Here is a 22,959-nt window from a genome sequence, read left to right as displayed (position 1 = left end):
CTGCTACTTTCTTCAAAAGTAACTGATAAGAGGGACAGGCCTACTAGGAGATTTTAATGAGGTGGCCTTCAAAGTATTGTCTGTCAGTTAATTATGATGTATTAACCCAGTGAAGCACTGTCTGCTTTTAAATGGTCACATTAGAATTTGATCTAGCAGGGCCGGGCGCGGTGGCTCACGCCTGTAATCCCAGCACTTTGGGAGGCCGAGGCGGGTGGATCATGAGGTCAGGAGATCGAGACCATCCTGGCTAACAAGGTGAAACCCCGTCTCTACTAAAATACAAAAAATTAGCCGGGCGCGGTGGCGGGCGCCTGTAGTCCCAGCTACTCAGGAGGCTGAGGCAGGAGAATGGCGTGAACCCGGGAAGCGGAGCTTGCAGTGAGCCGAGATTGCGCCACTGCAGTCCGCAGTCCGGCCTGGGCAACAGAGCGAGACTCCGTCTCAAAAAAAAAAAAAAAAAAAAAAAAGAATTTGATCTAGCAATGTTTAGGGCTTTGTGGCACTGGTGTGAATTAATTAGTATAAATTTGTTTATACCCAGGAGAATATGTAAAATAAATAAGTAAATAAATAAATAAACTCCTTTGTAGGAGACCCAATAGTGAAAAGGCCCTGTCACTGTGTTGGACTACAAGGTGATGTCTAGCTAAGTGTTTTGAAGAAAGAGGAGTGAGCTCTGAGCTTGTGCGTGTGTCCAGAGCCATAGAGCTCTGTCCCCTGGATGGGCTGGGAGGGTCAAGCTCTGCCTCTCCTTTCATGGTGACTGAGCCTGTTTTTAGATCTGTCCATGCATTTAATGGATTGTATCAGGCGATGGAGATCTAGGTCCTTCCCTGTCTTTCTGGGCAGGGATTTCCAGTTAGGCACTGTTGACATTTGGAGCTGGACAGTGTTCTGTTGGAGGAAGCTGTTCTGTTCGTTTGTAGCATCCCTGGTCTCTACCCAGTAGATACCAGTACCACTCCTCCCCCTCAAGTTGTGACAACGAAAAATGTCTGCACACATTGCCAAATGTCCCCTAGGGATCAACAGGGCTCACGATTGAGAACTGTTGCTCTAGGTTAACTTTGTTTATGTGTTGGGGTTGGGCTGGTTTAACTCTTGTTGCGGGGGAATTCCTTCCTTATCTCCAAGTTCTTGGGGGTATGGGGACTCTCTGTATCCTCCTTCTACTGATAACACCTCTCACTGATAAACCATGGCCCTGTTGCAGCAGAGGTATCCTGCCCCAGAGGTCTCACTTTCAGGGATGCAATCAGCACCTGTCACAACCCTGTCGCCTCAGCAGGCTTCCTGGCCTCACTTGGGATGCTTCAGAAAGACTGGCTTTGGAATATGGACACCCAGTCTTGAACTTATATATTATTTATCACGAGGCTGTCCCCACCATGTCTGCAAGCTACAGACAGTGTGACATCTCTTCGGATGGCACTTTAAGTCTCAGGAAACTGAGAGAGAGGCAGTCTATTGCCTGAAGTCCAGAGCCCCACGATGCCTGGTGTCTTGGGTTTTTGAAAACCTGGCTGGGGTCTTTGGCAGCAAGCTTGTCTGGTCTGTCCCCGAGCAGTCCATCCAGGCAGTAAATTCCACAGAATGGTTCTGTAGGGGGAACTTCTCAGCAGCCCTTTGTTCTGTGGACAATTAACTTCCGCTGAACATTAACTAGAGAGTGGCTACATAATGAGAAACATCATATTTCCATCAGGGGAGAATTTCAGCTCAGACAACTCCGATGGCTCTGATTTAAGATCCATAAACTCAGTTCAAGGCGATAAATATGTAAGTAATTGATGATGTAGTGTGTGAGGAACTTAAGACCCATCCATCACACCCAGGCAGGCAAGTGCTGTGGACACGCTCTGAGAACAGGATGATAGAAGGGGAATAAATGGTCAGAAGGACCTAGACAGTTCTGTCCTCTGCATAACTCACTGCAGCTTCTCTCTACAGTCATGGCTTCTTTCCCAAAGGAGCCTCTTCCCATATTTTGTCTTCTCCAGCCAGGAAGAGAGACAGCTAAGAAAAGCTAAAAACAAGCAGCTGAATTGCTCTAGGGGCCATCCGCCTCTTAATGCACACCTACTATTGCCAGGTACCTGCTTCATTTCCCAGTGTCTGATCCTCAGGTAAACCCTGCAAGATGGATTTCATTGCCCCCATTTTACAGAGGAGGAGATGCACAGAGGGAAAGAGTCAGGTGACAGAACACACAAGCACAGAGCTAGAATTCTGACTCAGGCCCGCATCTGTAAATTAATTCCATTTTGCACATTCCAACTCGGGCAAAAGAGGGGGTTTGTGTCCCCCTAGTTGCCTGGACTTGGGAACATGCAATCCACAAACAAGTCTTCACCAGTTTCTGGGTCCAAATGTCAAGCCCAACTTGCAGATTCCAGGCTGTGGTCTGCGTGTCTCCCATCTCCCCCTGCCCTGCACCTATCAAGCTACTGCTGTTTCTGTTGGTTTATTTCAACGTGAGGCCATTTACAATGGAAATTGATGGAGCACAGGGCTGGCTGTTTTTCTCCCTTCGCAGGGACATTTGTGGTGATGGCAGTGTGGGGCCTCTGTCAGCTCTTGTTTTGTCCTCGTTTAAGTCCGAGCCAGGCAGGGGAAGCCAGCTTTGAATTAGCATTTTCCTTTGGGTCAAGGAGACAGTCCTGTATCTATGTGGGTTGAGATGGCTCTGCACCGCTAGCCAGGCCCCATGCTTCTCCAGGTCTCCAAGCTGCCTTTGCACATGCTCAGGGCTGCTCTCCTCTTTCCAGACCATGTTCCCCTCCTCTTTCCAGATCATAGCGGTAAAATTATATCAAGGGGAAATTTGAAGGGAAGGTTTGGGGGTGGGGCCAGGAAAGGGAAGAAAGATAAGTTTTCAAACATGTCTCATCTTTAGATTCAAATGAAGATTGATAATTAATGACACTCCCCTCTCTGATCCATGGGATGTGTCTTGTGCCCCACCCCCCGATTGGCCACCAGTGTCCCCACACCCCTTGCCCTACCCGACCTAGTGTTACCATCTTAGATTCTCCATCCATCATCCCCACAAGGAAGATAATTACTCCTGTGGCACCCAGGTCTCCCATTGTTTGGTTACAAGGTTAAAAATCCCTGACGCACTTTAATAAATTCAGCAGTGAGCACATTATGAAACTGTAATTAAATGCCTCAGCCATCTTTTCTTTCTTTACCGGCAATGAAACTTAATTGAGGCCATCTGAGAAAGGCTGAAATAAATCACAGGTGATGACTCTAGGATTCGCATTTCTCACTGGGAGAGGGAGGGATGTTATCACTGTCCACACATTTGATTTAGAGCAAATTAAGGGGATCCTAGCTTGATGGTTACCTGCCAGGTCTCAGACACCAGGTGGTGGTGGTCTTTTCAAAAAGGGGAAAGTGGGCCAGGCACGGTCGCTCATGCCTGTGATCCCAGCACTTTGGGAGGCTGAAGTGGGAGGATCACCTGAGGTCGGCAGTTAGAGACCAGCCTGGCCAACATGGTGAAACCCCATCTCTACTAAAAATACAAAAATTAGCCAGTCGTGGTTGTGGGTACCTGTAATCCCAGCTACTAAGGAGGCTGAGGCAGAAGAATCACTAGAACCTGGGAGGCGGAGGTTGCAGTGAGTGGAGATTGCTCCATTGCGCTCCAGCCTGGGTGAGTGAGACTCCATCTAAAAAAAAAAAAAAAGTTGGGGGGAAAGCGATTTTGAGGGTGAGTATGTGAATATTAGAATAAATACATTAATATATCTTCACTAGATCCTGAAGGTTTTTCTAGTTTAGTATAACCTTTTTTTTTTCGAGACAGAATCTCACTCTGTTGCCCAGGCTGGAGTCCAGTGGCACAATCTCAGCTCACTGCAACCTCCACCTCCTGAGTTCCAGCGATTCTCATGCCTCAGCCTCCCAAGTAGCTGGGATTACAGGCATGAGCCACCACACCCTCCTAACTTTTGTATTCTTTTTTTAGTAGAGATGGAGTTTTGCCATGTTGGCGAGGCTGGTCTTGAACTCCTGACCTCAAGTGATCCGCTCACCTCTGCCTCCCAAAGTGCTGGGATTACGGACGTGAGCCACTGCATCATTTTTTTTTTTTTTAAGCAGGGGTGGGACCAGGTGGAATGGGTGATGGAGGAGAGTGATGGTGACAACTTTCCTGTGATGTTGTCCCTCACATCCTCTCCAATGTCCTACCTCTAGCCGCCACATACCAGCCCTTCATCTGCTTTGCTGCCATTGGTGCAGTGCCCTCACCACTCACTGGTCCTACCAATATCAGCTGCTACCTGGAGACACTCCTAGCAGGGCATCTCCTATCTCTATCTCATCCGTCACCACCACCACTGCCTCCAATTGTAACTTAGAGAGAAGACTCCCCCAGGTCTCAGCTATGTCGTGCCGCTTTATCAGATGCAGGGGCATTTCTTCCTCTTCTGCCTGGGATCAGCATGTTCCTTCCCCTGGAGGAAGACTCCTCCAGGTCTTCTCTCTGCTTTGATAGAGTGACAACTAGAAAATCAAATTCTTTAATCCAGACAGAAGCAGTGAGAGGAAAGAGTTAATTTTTCTTTTCCTCTGCCCCCATGAGTTGACCCAGATTTCAGAAGTTGCATGTAGAGACATTGCCCCCTCATGGACTATTCTACGAAGAGACAGTGAGGGGTTGAAAGAACACAGTCTTGGGCTATCATCTTGACTGGGCTGCTTGCATGTCCTCCTTTTCTGGCTCTTCTCTTCTGCAAAACGGGGATCAAAACAATGCACCTCACAGGGTGCTAGGATTAAGTGGGCAGTGGGGTGACACAAAGTGGTTATACGTATTTTGGCTTGGAGACTACAGACCATTTGTGTAAGGATTCCTACCATGTAAGTGGCAGAAGGGGATCTTGAATCCTGGTCTTCTGGCTCCATGGAAAAAATCTTTCTGCTGATTAGCCAAGAAAATGAGTTTCATAGCTCTAAATCAGGACTTGGCACACTTTTTCTTTAAAGGGCCAGGTAATAATTATTTTTTGTTTGGTGGACCATACTGTCTCTGTTACAACTACTCCTGTTGTCATAGACAGTGTGTCAATGAGTGGGTGTGGCTGTGTGCCAATTAAACTTTATAAAATTAGACAATGAGTTGAATTTGGCCTGAGGGTCAAGTTTGCCAACTCTGGCACTAAGTCATAGTCCGTACAGAGCTTTGTCATGTTCTAACTGATGTGTTAAATTCAAGAGGCAGAGTGATGATGACAGTGACAAAAACAATAATAACAATACTACATCAGGCACTTGGCAGAGCACTGTTCCAATTATATCACCCCACTTAATCCTCCTACCAATCTTATGAGGGAGATACAATGACCACTTTTTTTATAGGAGAAACCGAGCCTCAGAAAAGTAAGAGTACCAAGATCCCATAGCTCGTAAGTGGCAGAGCTGGTGTTTGTCACAGGTGTGCTCACGTCAAAGCCCCATGCTCTCTCTCCCACACTGCACTGGGCAAGTTGATTGCCCTTGAGGCCCTTCCTGTTCAGAAATAAAGTATGCTACTCTGTCTCCAGAGGAGGTCCACACTCAAGGTCTTGTCTCTAACTTAAACTCCACACATGCATGAATTGCATTGACCCTAATACTTGCATTCCTGCAGTGGACAGGAACTGAGGCCATAGTCTCAATAGCTTAGCCATTGCCCATTGTTTTGTCTCAATGTCATGGGAGCCCCAGGAAACTTCTCTGAAATCCCTGTATATGATCTCTTCCATCAAGAATCCTTGCTCACCCCTAGCATCTCTTATCACTGTCAGTCCCCTCTGCCTTATTTCTTCCCCGATGACATGAAACCAAAGCCCACCCTGGTCTATGCACTCACCAGTTTCAAGGGATTCCAGGGAAGCCTCCATAGCCATCAAGGGCCCCAGATGATGATGTTTGGATCTTGGGAGGTGAGTTATCATTGTTTCAGGGAGAAAATTATGTCCAACTCCATGAAGAAGCACTTGGCCCTGAAGCATCATGGAGCTGTAACCTTTAGAAACTGCACATAATTAAAATACTTTCAGATCTGATATATTTGAGTTGGATATTAAAGCAAATAGAGTTATCCTCTGCTATGTGAATGATATCATGAGCAGCTTTAGTCTAGGATTGGTTGGCGCCTTGGATAAATCAGTGGGATTTTAGCTGGTGACTGGCCTGTGACTCCAAAGAAAAGTTTAATGATCTAAGTTTTATTAGTTTCAGTTACCTTTAGGCCCAATGAATTTGCTAGTTGATTTGAATGCAACACCTCTGCTGAGTTCTCACTCAGTCTGTCATGTCCCTGGGCTGGAAGCTTAAGGGCAGTTTGGAACTTCCAGTTCCTTTGTGGTATTTCTGAGGATGAGCTCTTGGGTTCAAACCTGAGCTTTAGCACCTAAAAGGGAATTATGGAGACTAAGTGAAATAATACAACTAAATCACATAATCTAGGTCCCACTGGGTAATAGGTGCTTAATAAAAGTTAGCTATTATTTTTAATAATATTATGTGCTCAGAGGTCTTTATCTCCATGGAAACATTTAGGGTAGAGTAGCTCCTTATTTATCCAACAGGGTTTAGCGATTCAAAGACTGCAATAAACTATTTCTTGTGGTCCTTTTCAACTCTAGACTGGCATGGCTTTTAAGATAATTTTTACATTTATCTCAGAAGGGGACATGGTATGGAGCTGGATAGAAGGCTTTAATTTTATAGGAAACTGGGTTCAACTCTAGAGTTCATGATATTTGGTGAACTTTAGCTATATGACTTTGAACAATTTAGTTATCCTTACTTTCCTTATCTGTAAACTATGGATACAAACTCATAAGATTGTGTGGATTAAATGAAGACATAGCTGCAAGATACATACGGTAAATATGTCTGAGCATTGCTCTCATGCTCAGAATACTCTGTGTGCATTATCCCACTTAGTCTTCAAACAACACAATGAGGTACAGTGGGCACTGATATTTACTCACAGTTTTTGCCTGAGAACACTGAAGCTCATGGGGTTGTCACTTGCCCAAAGACACACAGCAGGTCACATCCCACATCTACCTCAATTTGCCATCTGTGAAACAGTTATAATGTGTACTTTCTTCCCTACCACACAGAGTATTTTGAGGATAAATAAGTTCAGATTTGCTCTGAGTCTGATAAAGTTATCTCTACGATCTCTCAGGGCCATGTAAGTTTCTCATTAATCGGAAAAACACCAGGTTCAGCCAGGACTTGACTATCGGTCCATTCATTTGTTCATTCATTCATTTGTCCATTAAACACACATTTAATATTCTTAGAGCAGATCCTGAGCTCAACACTTGGGGATACAGTGACAGATGAGACCCAGGCCCAAACCCCAAAAGCTCCCAGCCTAGTATCGTTTGTCCCCATAGCAGATAAATCGCAAAGAATAATTTTTTAAAACTGGCTTTGCCTTCTTCCCATGGCTACCTTTTTATCCTCCCCTGCTTGGGTTTGGGAATGCAAATCCCATGAAAATTTCTTCAGGAACTGTCCTCTAAGATCAGTCTATGCCACAGCAGATATTCCAGTGCTACAAGTTGGTAGGTTTGGGACAAAACCCTTCTTTATGGCCAAGGAAGTAAAAATACTCTGTTGGCTTCTGAAAAATAATACAGGCTGTGGGGCCAATGAGTACACCCCCTTTGCTTTTCCCAGGGACATGGAGGAGTGATGGGATGTGGATTTTTTATGAGGGGCTGTGGGTGGGATCATGATAGCTCCGGTGGGAAAGGCCTGTGCTGGGAGAATGACCTTGGGAAGGAATGGTCTTGTCAGGGTTAGAGCTGTAGCATTGGACCTGGGTAGGGGTTGGGGTGATGGAGCATTGATGCAGGGATAGGGAGGCGGGGAGGCCCTCCCTGTTTTTTCCAGTTACAGCCTGGCAGGCTATTTTCCCCTCGACCGCCAGAGGGAGCTCTTAAATGCATACTGCCCAGCACAGCGTCCTGCTGCTTCCATTCTAACGCACATCGGGGCTCCCATTGCCTTAAAACAACCCCAACGTTGGTACGGTTTCATTTTCCTCATGGACTCTTATTTCTTGGCTCATTTACTTTCTGATTTCCCCCTGTAGACTCTAAACTCGGGAAACATGGTTATCTCGTTCACCGTATCCCCTTGAAACCATGCCTGGAACAAGATAGGTGCTGTGTCAGTTTCCCATGGCTGCTGTGACAAACGGCCACCAACTCAGCGGCTGAAAACAACACAGATTTATTATCTTACAGTTCTGGAGGTCAGAAGTCCGAAATGGATGCCAATGGGATTAAGATCAGGGTGTCGGCAGAGCTGGTTCCTTCTGGAAGCTCTAGGGGAGAATCCATTCTCGCCTTTTCTAGTTATGTGCCTTGGCTGCTGTCCCCCCTCCTCCTTCAAAACCAGCAGTTGCATCCCTCTGACCTCGGCTTTCATTGTCATGTCCACTTCTCTGACCTCTGACTCTCACCCTCCTCCCTCCATCTTATAAGGGCCCTATGGTGACATTAGTTCCACCCGCGTAATCCAGGGTAACTTCTCCATCTCAAGATCCTTAACTTGATCACGTCTTCAGCATCTCTTTTTGCCAGATAAGATAACATACTCCCAGGTTCCAGGGATCAGGACGTGGGCATCTTTTGGGTGGGAGAGGAGCATTATGCTATTACATCACTTCCCAGGCCTCCTTGGTCCTTCCCAGACAGAGGTAGGTAGGAGGCCTTGGCAGTATAGGATGGGTTGAGCAGGGTGTTGGAGGGAACTCTGGACTAAAAGCATCCAGTTTGTTTCTGTCTGCAGTTTAAATCCCAACTCAGTCACTTATCAGCTCTAGACAATTGCATATTGCTTCTAAGCCTCAATATTCCCATCTGTGAAAGGGAGATGAAATTCACTTCCATTAATTGAGCCACAGCTCAATTAAAAATCCCTGTTCTGGCATTTACTTGCATTTACCTTGGGCAGTCGGGATAACTTTTTAATTTCCTTGTTGAAATGGCACTAATGATCATGGCTGATACGCTATGTGTGTGTATACTCTGTAGTGTTTGTATTAATGGGATAATATATGTCAAGGGTCTGTCTGTTTGACAGTAGTGCTTGGCACACGGTAACACAGCAGACAGCAGATTTACTATATTTTTCTTTCTTTCTTTCTTTCTTTCTTTCTTTTTCTTTCTTTTTTCTTTTCTTTCTTTCTTCTTCTTTTTTTTTTTTTCGGAGTTTGGCTCTTGTTGCCCAGGCTGGAGTGCAATGGCGCGACCTTGGCTCACTGCAACCTCTGCCTCCCAGGTTCAAGTGATTCTCCTGCCTCAGCATCCCGAGTAGCTGGGATTACCGGTGCCCGCCATATACAAAAATAATTTTTTGTATTTTTAGTAGAGACAGGGTTTCACCATGTTGGCCAAGCTGGTCTCGAACTCCTGACCTCAGGTGATCCACCTGCCTTGGCCTCCCAAAGTATTGTGATTACAGGTGTGAGTCACCGCACCCGGCCCTATTTTTCTTATTTCTTATTTTCTTCTTTCTTCTCCTCCTCTTCCTTTCCTTTATCGTCACCCATTTTTACCTGTGTCTCTGTGTATATCCTCACGTATTTTTCCCATGCCTAGCTCATCCGTCAGGGAGCTTTCAAATTCACCAGGTCAGAGCCTGATTTTTCATCAAGAAGCTGTGTGTGGTGTGGATGCTTTGTTAATGTTGGTTCCTGCTGTTGGGCCTTCTGTTTGTCCCTCTGACTGCTAAGGTGATTCCAAAGACCAGGGTTCCTGGCTTTTCCCTCTTCTGTGCAAAGCCCCTTCTGGGCAGATGCATTTCTCAGAAGACATCAACAGCAAGACCTGTGCAAGGGGAGAAGAATCCTCCCTCCTTCCACCTCTTTCTCTTTCTATGCACTAGAAATGAAAATATCTACGGAGAAATGTCTATTATTCTACTCCTGAGACCATAGGCACCAGGGATGCACAAAATTCTGCCTCTGTGTCTGCATGACTTGTTATCAGAAAATTAGAGTAGAAAAGAAGCTTTTGTTCAGCTATGGAGACATCTTAATAGGTGCTTTGATTGTTAAGCAGAAGTTTCTGTATCGGTTTAATTGCTGTAAATGTCGTTTGCCTTCTCTGTTATGATAAGGCCTGGATTTTCATATATTTTTTCCCCTTCCCTTTCAACAGTTTTCCATTGCTTTAAGGCTTGCATTGGCAAGTTTAATAAAATCCAAACGAAGAAAGCAAAGAGAGGATCTCAAAGTTCAAATCTTCTTGCCCACGTAGGAAGCTGTGTGGAGGTTATTATTGCTTGAGACTAATGATGCTGCAGCCACTTAATGCAATTGACAGAATTCACCCCTTCAACCAGATATTGGGAAATGAGACCAAACTACTAAACTTAATTACATCTATTTTTTGAAGGGAGCTGTAATTGAGAATAACTGAATAACTAGGCTATGAACCTAATAGTGAGATGTGCTTATAATAAAAGAGGATTTGTTCTCTGCTGAGTTGAGCCTCAGAAGCACCATCTGGGGGATTTTTGATGGAGAGGTGGTGATAATAAGGGAGGGAGTTGGCTAGACAAGCAGAGAAGCATCTAGATCAGGAATTCTCTACCTTGATGCTATTGACATTTTGGGATGTTTAATTCTTTATTATGGGAGTCTGCCCTGTGCATTATAAGATGTTAAACAGTATCCCTGCTCTCTCCCCACCAGATGCTGGTAACACACACACACGCACACACACACACAGACACACACAGTGTGACAACCAAAAATGTCCCCAGACATTGCCAGATATCCCCTAGGGGGAAGAGCACTCCTCTGGTTGAGAACGGGGGTGCGGGGGCTCCTGGAAGACTTTCAAACAATTGCAGAGTTATTCATTGAGAATCTGCAGGTGCCTGGCTGTGTGGCCTTTAGCAAGTCACTGCACTTCTCTGAGCTCCTTTTGTTTTCCTTTGCACAACGGGAATAATGATAGCCTGACCACACAGAGGGATAGCTTCCAGGTATAAAATGCATAGCATAATCCCTAGCACCTACTGAGTAATCAATAAACTTGATGTTTCTATTATAATAATCTTGGATTCAGCAAACATGTATTAAGTACTTTGCTTCAGGCACGATGCTTTGAGGTGGTGATGGAAAGATGAGATGTGGTTCCTGCTCTTGCAGAGGTGGAAAATGTATGTGGACCTGTTGGTACAATCTTATTCTTCACCCGTGGCAGACATTGCTAATCAGTTTCAGTGCCCTTTCCTGTTGAGCCTCAGAATCCATTTTAACACACTTCTTTGGGCAGCCACTACTAGTGGCCCCTGAAATGAAACCCATTTAGCACTCCTAGTTTTGTAGATTTCCTTGTGAGGACGCTAACCCTTCCTCTCCAGCGCCATCCTCCCATTCCCACCCACCCCTCGCACTGGAGAAAGCACCTTAAGGAGTTAATGGGTGGAATCCCTCCTCCCACATCTGACTTCAGTCCCCAAAAGAGATAGGAATGGAAAGAATGCTCTCTTAAAAATTTTTTTTTCTCTTGTCTTTTCTATTTCCCTCAGAAATCGAAACAAGTAGTAAAATGTGCTTGAGGTTGATGACATTTAGTTTTTAGTTAAACTAAAGGAATCCCACGGGCTATAATTCTGATTGATAAATCATGCTGTCTCCCTCTTAGGTTTTCTCTGCCCTTTGGGGCTTGGAAAATCATTAGCTCTCTCATAAAGGATCCCAGCTTTACAAGGGCAGAATTGGGATTTCTGGAAACAGCTTTCAGACGGCTGCCGACGGTGTCATTAGACAGAATAGAGGAGCGAGTAGGTTGGGGGTTAAATGCTCTGTGATAGGTTCTGACATGCCCGGCTCCCCGAAGAGAGTGCCACTCCATAACAATTGCTGTGAAAAATGAGGCATGCATTTGCAGCTCCAAAAACAGGGAGCTGGCTCCATCCCTCTGGCCTGAGAAATGAGAACGGGCGTGTAGGGTCAGGCACTTGCTTCTTCTCTCCCTGTCCCCTGGAGATTCCACAAGCAGGACGAGTTCCTTGCTGCCGTTGTTTCACAGCTCTCTGGGGCCTGCAAGCTCTGCCAGGAGGATGGTGTGGGCAATGGGCAGTAGGGCGGAGGTGGGACCTGGTGCACAGGGTCTTTGGGAGAACCAGAACTCAGTCTGTAATGGAGTGATAGTACAGTTCGCTGAGATTTAGCCTAAGGGATGAAAGAAGAGACCAGATGGGGACAGGCATCTCATCTGAAGTCATTTTTTTGTTTCTTCCTCATTCCCATTCATCATGCATCCACCCACCCACCTGTCTATCCACTCACCTACCCATCTTTCCATTCACCCATCCATCCATCCATCCATCCATCCATCCATCCATCCATCCATCCATCCATCCATCCACTCACTCACCCACCCATCCATCTATCCATCCACCCACCCACCCACTCACTCACCCACCCATCCATCTATCTATCCATCCACCCACCCATCTATCCATCTATTCATCCATCCACCCACTTACCCACCCACCTATCCATCCATTCATCCACTCACCCACCCACCTCTCCATCTACCCACCCGTCTATCCATCTATCCATGCATCCATCCACTTACCCACCCACCTATCCATCTGTCCATCCATCTACTCACCCACCCGCCTATCCATCCATCCTATCCATCCTGCTCATCTATCCACTCATCCACCCACCTACTTACTCTAGCATAACTTTAGGTGGTACATGTTTAGACATTATTAAAATAATTATCTATAATATACAGAAATTGATATGGCTTTCTGCATAGGGTTTGCTTTTTAAAATAAGTGTACTTAAACAAAAAAAAATTGGAGTCAGCCTAAAATGTTAAATAAATAACTTGGCAGTTGTACAGAGGCATGGCAGAAATGAGAAAAGCATCACTTGCATGGCTGGCACTGGGAATCCACTGCACTCTAACTTTCATGCAAGGGCACATGTTCATTTCAGGTTCCTCGAACCCAAAATCACAGCTGCTGTGCGGCTTCTAAGGTATATGACCTAGAGCAAGTGACTTCCCCTCTCCAAGCCTCAGTTTTTTCTTCTGTAAGGTGAGGACGCTAGCAACCCCTATTCTTGGGTTTGTTTTGAGAATGTAGCAAGCTAAGGCATGCGAATCACTTAGCACATGCTTGGCACACACCAAGCACTCCGTAAATGGAAGTGATGCTCACTTTTATTCATTCCACAGCTGGCTTCATTTAAGGCATCCCCTGGCAGCCCTGCCCAGGGGCCCTTGCGTCAGTTGAGGTGACAAGCTAAACCAGTGTTCCACTTGGCTTTGGTTTAGCAAGTGATGGCAACTGGTATCCTTCCTGAGGGTGACGAGCCCCCCTTTTCCTTCCAGGCCTTGCCAGAGCCCACCCCAGTCTCTGACCCTCTGTGTAACAGGCTGTTCTCTTCTCTCTGTAGACACACTGTCAGTGCCACGCTGGTCCCCGCAGATCCCTCGCAGAGATCTCGGCAACTCCATCAAGCACAGGTAGGCTGGATTCCTGTGTGCACTGGTGCCTACTTCTCAGCTCTGTGAGGGGTGGGGGCTCTGGCCCCTGCCCTGGGGTGAGAGAAGGCTAGGCTATTGAGCTCCAGCACCTACATCACCATGTCCCTTTCTCCTCTGCTCGGCTAAACTTTAAAGTGGCAACCAGGAGACTGAGACATCTGCTTCTTACTAATCTGACCCTTATAAAATTAGCACATAGCAGTTAAAAGCCAGGGCTTTGGAGTCAGACTGACCTGTGTTCCAATCCCAGCTAGTAAAGCTTTGCAACCTTGAGGAAGTTACTTAACCTTTCTGAGGCTCAATTTTTTCTTTAGGTAATTCTGCCTACCTATAGGGTGACTGTGCAGATTAAATGAGATAATATTTGTAAAGGGCCTGGCACATAACAAACACTTAATAAACAGTATCATTCTGAAGATTAATGCTTTATGTCCTAATTTTTGGTCTTCTCACCCAGAATACACAAGACTGCAGGTGCACATTCTCTGGTGCGGCGTTCAGTCCAGAGCTCTAGCCCTGCTGGGTGCATGAGACAACCTCTCCAGGGCTATACCTGCCCTTTTAGGGAGGGGGGTTTGCATATACCAGGCATCCCTTATAAGAAGTCCTTTAACTCCCTGAATTAGCTTTCCCCATTTTGTCTTGGTAGTTGCAGTTTCCTCACAAACTTAGCAGGGTGAGTGGGGCAAGTGTGCTCATGGCCATTGGACAGATAGGCAGACTGAGGCCCTGGAAGATTAAGCGATAGGTTGAAAAGCTAATTAGCCTCAGTACTTTGTGTTCTTTTGACACCCTGCTGAGTTTTCCTAGCACCAGGGCCTCTGTGAACTCACTGGAGGACCTGTTCCCTTATTCATGGATTCTTTCCTCTTATATTTCCAGAGTTTCTGTGCCATGGTTGCAGCTCTGACCAAGACATAAGGCCTGTTCCCTTGGGGAGCTCGTGGTCTAGGGGAGGGTCAGATAGTTAACAGACCATGACAGTATGGAGAGATCGGGGTGACAAGGTGGGGTGATATCAGGGGCAGATGCATCACCATAGCTGGGGGCATGGAGGAGGTGAGCATTCTCACGATGGGGACTCATGGAATGGCATCTCATCAACAGTTTTTGAAAGAAGTATGTTGACAGGATAGTTGTTAAGACTTAAATGAGAAAACGTTGGAGGAAGAAGTGAGAAGTGTGTGATAGACACGTCAATGGTCAGGCCTTGAGCTGCAGAGAGAAAGGCATCAAAGACAAGGGCCTTTTTTTGTATTTTCCTCCTCACTGCTCTCTGGCTCTGCTCCACCCCGGTTTGGCCACGCCCCTTGATCAACCGTGCCCCCTGGACTGGCCCTGCCCCTGGCTCATCCCCATTCTTGGATTGGCTACGCCCCAGGCTCAGCCACGCCCTTGGCTCGGCCACACCCCTGGGTCAGCCACTCCTCTGGCTCAGCTCGGCCCCTGGATTGGCCATGCCCCTGGCTCAGCCCCACCCCCTAGATCGTCCAGCCCCCAGGCTCTCTGGTAGTCCCTAAGATTCAAAAGCTGATGCCCAGAGGAGGGAAACAACCTATTAATTTTAGGAATGTCTTCCCAGAGGAGCTGAGACTTGGGATGACCTGCTACTCTTCAGTCTCTCCCTATGTTTCTCCCTGGGCTTAATGCCAGGAGGTAGAGAGAACTGGACTCACCCCAGCCTTGGTGAAGAAATGAAATTAAAATCCCATCTGCTGCCATCAGAGTCACTTCAGCCAGAGCTGGGGAAGAGGCAGAGCTGATCCCAAGCACAAGAGAGGTCTGGAAAGGAGAAAAAACTGTCACCCACTGCTTATGAAGCCTGCCCGCCACTCCTATGTGGCTGGCTGATGAGTGAAATACACGCTCCTTCGCCGCCATTCCCCAGAGCTGCCAAATTCTGCAAAACAGAGTCTGCTAAACTCACTGGCTCTGCTGAAGGGAAAGAAAGGGGCTTGACCAACTCACAAATCCAAAACCAGAGAGGGAGAGTTTTCTTGGCAGTAAGTGTCTTTGCTCAGAATGTTGCTATTTGCTTAGATTTGGAGGCTTTGGGCTGTGGCTTATTCTGTTTGGAGAGTGACTGACCCAAATCAGGCAAAACGGTCCAGCAGAGGGATGCAACCTTTCCCTCGAAATTCTCAGACTCCAAGTTACATAACCACTTCCGATTTCCCTTTTGACACTCTGAGGCAGTGGAGATTAGATATAACTCCTGCTGACGGTGACACAAATTGAAAATTAAAATTAACAGTGACCTGGCAACCTTCAGTACTTTTCTTGGGCCCAGTCCTGCTGCTGCCTCATATCTCTTGGGGAAGAAAGCACCCTGGCAATATCGAGGGGAGATGTGCCCAGGGAGTTAATCGAATGCACCTCTGCTCCAGTTGGTTTATCGCTGTACACAGGAGACCTCCAAACTGCTCAAGTTTGCAGCAAGTGGATGGGGTTGGAGAGCGAGGTGAGCTGATGGTCTGAATGGCTTTCACTTTCAAGGTTTCTTCTCTGCCACTAAGGTTTGGGGTCTCAGCTCTTTCAGGAGGGGAGGGCTCCCTTTGATACTCCCCAGGTGATATGACCGGCAAGTGATGGGAGATGGTTCAGCTGGTCCCCCAGGAGGCTCCACCTTGCTTTGTAGCTTTCTACAGGCAGTTCCAGCCCTATCCATTGCTCTGTCCCAGAACTGACCTTGGCATATAGTAGGCCACCAGGCAATATTTGTTGAACAAATGAATGACCCTTACGAAAGTTCAAGGTAATAGTATAGTCACAACCCAATTTATCGAGTGCTTACTATGTACCAGCCACTGTACGAAGCCCTTGACATGCCTGACCTTGTTTAATCTCTCCAGCAACCTATGAGGTCAATACTGTTATTATCTGGACTTAACAGATGGGGAAACTGAGGTTCCAGTGGTTTAAGCAACTTGATTAAGTCACACAGCTCGAAAGAAACAGGACTGGAATCCAGGGTTCATGTGCTTGCTCTTCAAGTACTTCATCCCTCTAGAGATAGGTCAGTCGCCATTTCCTTAACCTTGAACATTTTCTGTCTCTTTTCCACAGGTTTTCCACCAAGTACTGGATGTCTCAGACGTGCACAGTCTGTGGGAAAGGGATGCTTTTTGGCCTCAAGTGTAAAAACTGCAAGTAAGTGACTGTGCCCTGCAGTGACTTTTCGCAGCACCCGATGTCAGCTAGAACCATGCAGGGCACTGAACAGCCTTTGGGAGTTTGATTTCTTCACTCTTGGGAGAGTTGTTTGCTTTGTTTTTCAGAAATAGATTGGAAATGCACCTGTAAGTTTGGGTAGGGGGTCAAGGGAGAGCAATTCTGAATAAGAACCAGAGCTAATGGAAGATCCTGGAAATGCCTAATGCTGTGTGCTGAGGCACAGTGATACTTCTCGTTTTCATAACATCTAAGGCCAGGGGTTGGCAAATTCTTACTCGAGTTGACCAGATAGTAAATATTTTAGGCTTTGCAGACCATAAGCAGCCGTAAACAATACAGAAACAGTCTTGACAACTTCATTTATTCCAATAAAACTTTATTTGCAAAAACAGACTGCAGGCTGGCTGTGGCCCTCAGCTGTAATTTGCTGATCCCTGAGTTAGAATTTGCCAACTCCTTTTCTCTGTCTCTTTTTTTTTTTTTTTTTTTTTTTGAGATGGAGTCTTGCTCTGTCACCCAGGGTGGAGTGCAGTGGTGTGATCTTGGCTCACTGCAACCTCCACTTCCTGGGTTCAAGCAATTCTCCTGCCTCAGTCTCCTGAGTAGCTGGGACTACAGGCCTGTGCCACCATGCTGGCTTTTTGTTGTTGTTGTTGTAATTTTAGTAGAGACTGGGATTTACCATGTTGGCCAGGCTGCTCTCGAACTCCTGACCTCAAGTGATCCTCCCCCGTCAGGCTCCCAAAGTGTTGGGATTGCAGGCGGGAGCCACCGTGCCTGGCTCCCAAGCCTTTCTCTCCTTTTTCTTTCTCCTCATGGTACCTTTTTAAACCAGCCTTGTAATTATCCCCATTTTACAGATGTGAAGGCTGAGTCTAGCAATGAAAAGTCACTGTGAAGAAGTGACAGTCAGGACCTGAACCCAGATCCCTAACTCCTTTTCTGCTCACCTTCTGTAGTATCATATTGGTCTGGAGTTTTGATGAGAAGGCCGTACCACCCAAGCTCTGCCTCCCCAAGCTTCCTTTCTCTTCCACACCCCCATTCAAGGTCATGGCTAGCAAAAGGTAGGGAGGAAGAAGAAAACTGAGACGCCAGATGTGGGCTCCGGAGTCAGACTAAGCTGGTTTTAAATCCTGGCTCTGCTACTTGGCAGCTGCCTGACCTTGGGCAAGTCACTTCACATTTCTGTCCCTAGTATTTTCATCTGTGTGAAAGGAATAATAATTGATATGGTCTGGCTGTGTCCCCACCCAAATCTCATCTTGAATTGCAGCTCCCACTATTCCCACATGTTATGGGAGGGACTTGGTGGGAGATAATTGAATCGTGGGGGTGGTTTCCTCCATACTGTCCATGTGGTCGTGAATAAGCCTCATGGGATCTGATGGTTTTATAAGGGGAAACCCCTTTTGCTTGGTTCTCTCATTCTCCCTTGCCACTGCCATGTAAGAAGTGCCTTTTGCCTTCCACCGGGATTGTGAGGCCTCCCTAGCTGCTTGGAACTGTGAGTCCATTAAACCTGTTTTTCTTTATAAATCACCCTGTCATGGGTATGTCTTTATCAGCAGCATAAAAACAGACTAATATAATAATCTTGCCTGCCTTGGGTGGCAGTGAGCATTTGATAAATCAGCACACTTGAGAACATAACACAGTGCCTCGCTCAGTCCAGTCCTTTGTAAGAAATTGCAGTGCCTTGCTATCTGGCCTCAATCTCTCCCCCCCTCTCTCTCTCTCCTTCTGTAAACATGTATTACGTACCCCTTCAGGTCCAATACTATAAAATAGTAACAGTCAACTTTATGTAATAGTTACAAATGAATGTGCATCTGTTTGCTTTATAGAAGTCATTTAGTTTAAAAGATTCTGAGAACTCCTCCTTCTGCTCTAGGCTTGCTCTTCCTTGTCTAGTCCAGGCAGAGGCCTCTCATTTAGGCCCTTTCAGGCCTCCCCACATCCCTGCCCCAAGATAGAAGTGAGAGAACGGCAAGGGCAAGCTCTCACTCTACCCACTCTGCCCCACCCCTGTCCATATCCTCCACCTGGCAGTCTCACCTGAGTAATGATAAGGTTGAGCATCCTTTCCTCCTGGAGTTGTGGGGAGCCTTAAGCCCCAGTGGTATAAAGAGAAGTACAGGCCAGATGCAGAGTCTCATGCCTGTAATCTCAGCACTTTGGGAGGCTGAGGCAGGAGGATCACTTGAGCCCAGGAGTTTGAGACCAGCTTTGGCAACATCGTGAGAACCCCATCCACACACACACACACAAATAAATAAAATTTAAAAATTAGCCAGGCATGATGGTACATGCCTGTTGTCCTAGCTACTTGGGAGTCTGGGGCAGGAAGATCACTTGAGGACAGGAGTTCAAGATCAGCCTGGGCAACAGAACTAGACCCTATCTCTACAAAATAAATTAAGGTAAAAAATTAGCCAGGAGTGATGGCACATACCGTGGTCCTAGATACTTGGGAGGCTGGGGCAGGAGGATCACTTGAGCCCAGGAGCTTGAGGTTGCAATGAGCTGTGATTGCACCACTGCACTCCAGCCTAGGCAACAGAGCAAGACCCTGTCTCAAAAAAAAAAATTTTTTTTTAAGGAGAAGCAGGAGCAATAATTACCAAGCATTAGTACTTCAAGGCCACCTTCCTTGCCTTGGTCCTCTGTGAACCTAGGCTCTCAGGTGGTCTTTCTGACAACAAAAGGCACAAGGCTGGGCCTTTAGGTCTGGCCTCCAGGCTGACTGATTTTCTCCATACACCAGCAGCTCTGAAGTCTGAAGATACAGACTCATCTGTATCTAGTCCCACCACATTCCGTGGGGGTAATGGCAACTCTTACATCCTCATACCTGCCGTGTGGAGGCTTTGAAGGCAGGTAATTAGATGACAGGGATGTAGCTGGGGTAGTGAGGCTGAACACTTCCCAAGCCGTTTTAATTTTCAGCACTAGAGGCAGAACTCAGAAGTAGCCTTTGCTAGTGCTCTCTGTTCTAAAAGTCATGAGCAAAGCCTTAGGCCCTGCCAAGGGTTGGGAGAGGAGGTTGTGGGAAGGATAGGGATAGGGTGGGGGGGTAAGCTTCAAGAACACAGACTTTGGAAGCAGTCAGAACTGAGTTTGGGTCCCAGCTCCATTACTAAACTCTTGTGTGAGCTTAAGCAGAGGTGTGCCATCATAGGGCTCAGTGTCTCTCTCTACAACACAAGTGTGACATTAGTGCCCACCACAGGGCTGTTGGAAGGAGTCAATTAAATGTCCATGCTCCAGATGGCAATGTTTTATCAGAGAACATTCTTCCCTATTCCGTCTTGTGCAAAAATGACTCCTGGCATATAAGAGACAAAATTCAAAACCAAAAATTCAAAACATGAAGATCTGACATGCTTCAGGAGTTTTGACATGGTGCTTGCAGAAACTACAACAGAATTGAGAGCTATCTCCAGTACATAATTATGAGCATGCATTGCTAATATCACCAGTTGAAGTTGAGACGTGTTCTACAACTAAATTCCTGCAGTTTTTGCATTAGTTATAGTGAGGATAGAGGGTTATTTATATGTGTTTTCAAAGATTGGCAGAATTTTGGATGCACTTATGAGCTGATAGAAGAGTTGGATGAGGGCTAGAAATGGGAAATGTACAGACCCCACTGTCAAGGAGTTTACAGGAGACACACCTATGGAAACTGAATGTCAATAAAATGAAAGTGTACACATAAAGAGCCGTGACAGGTGACATTTCAGAGAGGTGACACCAAGGATGGGGAGGCAGCTTCTTGTAGAAAATGAGCGGAACCGTTTGTTCACTTATTCAACTAATATTTATTGAGCACCTGTTATATATACACCATGCACAACTCTAGATGCTGGGGAAACAAGAGTGAATAAAAGAGACAAAATCCCTTCCCTAGTTTCTATGCTGGGGCATGGGTAGGAGTTGGGCAGACAGTAAGTAAATTAGTAAATTAGGTCATATGATAAGATGATGCAAAATGCTAAGAAGGTGGACAAAGCAGAGAAGGATCAGGATGGGGGCTGCAGTTTCAATTCAAGTGGTGAGGGATGGTCTCATACCTGAGTGAGAACTTTGCAAAAGTAGTAGTGTGTGATCTGGGTCATTTCCTGTCCTCTGAAAGCCCTTCCCGAAGCCTGGATTTGATCCTTCCCTGGAGGGAGTGATTTTTTTTTTTTTTTTTTTTTCACCCAGAGCAAATCCAGTTCTGTTACTGCCAGAAACTCCCTGGGTGACAGGGATTGGACTGGCCTCATGCTATTCTACACATGGTCCCTGGACCAGCACCATCAGCGTCACCTGACACCTGGCTAGAAATGCACATTCTTGGGGCCCACTCCAGACCTGCCAAATCAGAATTTGCATTTTAAGATGGTCTTAAATGCAATGGCTGTGTTCCCACCCAAATCTCATCTTGAATTGTAGCTCCCATAATTCCCACGTGTTGTGGGAGGGACCCGGCAGGAGATAATTGAATCATGGTGGCCATTTCCTGCATGCTGTCCTTGTGGTAGTGAATAAGTCTCAAGAGATCTGATGGTTTTATGAGGGGAAACCCCTTTCGCTTGATTTTCTTCATTCTCTCTTGTCGCGGCCTTTGGGTTTCCACCATGATTATGAGGCCTCCCCAGCCACATGGAACTGTGAGTCCGTTAAACTTCTTTTTCTTTATAAATTACCCAGTCTCAGGGATGTCTTTATCGGCAGCATGAAAGCAGGCTGATACAGTCCTAGTGATTCTTTTGCACATTAAAGTTTGAGAAACACTTCTCTAGGTGATCTCCAAATTTCTTTCCTGAGCTACTTTTCATTTTCTAGATAATGGTTCTCAAACTTGAGTGTGCACAAGAATCCCCTGGAGGGTTTATTAAAAAGAAAAAAAAAAACAGTTTTCTGGGCTCCACTCCTAGAATCTCAGGTTCAATACCTCTGGGGCAGACTCCTAGAATGTCTATTTCTATCAAGTTCCCAGGCCATGCTGAGGCTGCTGGCCCTTGGACCCCAGTTTGCAAACCACCACTCTACATTAGAAGTAGTGGTTTAAAAAACAAAATCAAGCTTTATTGCCCAGCGGGACATTTCATAATGTGAGATGTTTGTGTAAGTCTTTGCTGATGGTTTTTCAGGCTCTTCTGTTCTTACACGCTTTAGCTTCACTCTATAGATAGGAATCTTTTTCATCATCATCTCCCCAGCAAATTCATCCAGTAAATATTGGTGTGATGAGACCAAATGATAACGTGTGATTAGGAGCCAGGCACGGTGGCTCATGCCTGTAATCCCAGCACTTTGGGTGGCTGAAGCGGGTGGATCATTTGAGGTCAGGAGTTCGAGACCAGCCTGGCCAACATGGTGAAACCCCATCTCCACTAAAAATACAAAAAATTAGCCGAGTTTGGTGATGGGCGCCTGTAATCCCAGCTACTCAGGAGGCTGAGGCAGGAGAATCACTTGAACCTAGGAGGTGGAGGTTGCAGTGAGCCAACATTGCACTACTGCACTCCAGCCTGGGTGACAGAGTGAGACCCTATCTCAAAAAAAAAAAAAAAAAAAAAGATAACATGTGATAGGAACACAGGCTGCCGGTCAGACACGCCTATATTTGAACCCTGACTCTGCTGCCAACTGGTTGTGTGGCTCCCTGGAGTATCAGTTGTTTTGTAGAAGGGGGATAATAATATCCACCTTACTAGATTGCTTAATGACAACGACAACGACAACAAAAAACAGGTAAGGTAATTGTTCAATGACATGTTCATCCTTGTACCCAGTCCATTAGAAGTGTTTAATTAATGTAAGCTAATGCTGTTACTAACTTTATGAATTAACTTTGGGGTACCCTCCACCCAGGAAGCCAGAAACATCTCCTTCATGTCTAACCCCCTTCCCTCCTGCTCCGATTTAATGCCCACTTCCTCCGGAATTATCATTAGCTGTCTTGTTGGCATTCTGAATAGAGAGATTAATGAACTAATAGGAAATTAAGACTCCGAAAGCAATTTGCAGTTATCTAAATTGAGGCGTTTTCATCTAATAGGTTCATGAGAGCGGAATGGAGTTTAGCTCTGAGTGTAGAATGTCAGCACAATTCACATATTGTCTGATAACTGGATTCAGCTGGCAGAAGTTTGCTTTTGCAGTAAGATGCTGATGGATTTCCCAGCCTTCAATCATGTGTCATCTGCATTCTTCCCCCTTCTCAGGGTCCTTCCACAAA

At 46.1% G+C, this 22,959-nt stretch overlaps 1 protein-coding gene across 8 annotated transcripts in view, besides 1 other annotated feature; it reads left to right on the top strand.

Annotated features, from left to right (window-relative positions):
• The window catches only part of KSR2 (kinase suppressor of ras 2), a 515,979-nt gene that overhangs the window by 373,169 nt on the left and 119,851 nt on the right, over positions 1-22,959 (top strand). For 7 of the 8 annotated variants that reach the window (XM_011538224.4, NM_173598.6, XM_011538225.4 and 4 more), the window contains exons 6-7: positions 13,463-13,532; positions 16,620-16,703. In XM_011538224.4, the coding sequence (XP_011536526.1) occupies positions 13,463-13,532; positions 16,620-16,703 (154 nt within the window). Of the gene's footprint in view, positions 1-13,462; positions 13,533-16,619; positions 16,704-22,959 lie in introns of those variants that run through there. The other variant, XM_017019210.3, reaches the window with a different exon arrangement.
• Positions 11,512-12,012: an enhancer, noted in NCBI's record as "H3K27ac hESC enhancer chr12:118021615-118022115 (GRCh37/hg19 assembly coordinates)". NCBI's record gives its function as "activates a minimal SCP1, AML or CMV promoter by ChIP-STARR-seq in primed H9 embryonic stem cells {active_cell/tissue: H9 hESC(primed)}" and the evidence as "EXISTENCE:reporter gene assay evidence [ECO:0000049][PMID:30033119]".

The sequence above is a fragment of the Homo sapiens genome, chromosome 12 (genome assembly GCF_000001405.40).
Source record: "Homo sapiens chromosome 12, GRCh38.p14 Primary Assembly".
Classification (NCBI taxonomy): domain Eukaryota; kingdom Metazoa; phylum Chordata; class Mammalia; order Primates; family Hominidae; genus Homo; species Homo sapiens.
Note: the sequence above shows the minus strand (reverse complement) of the source record. Positions and strands in the feature narration are given on the sequence as shown.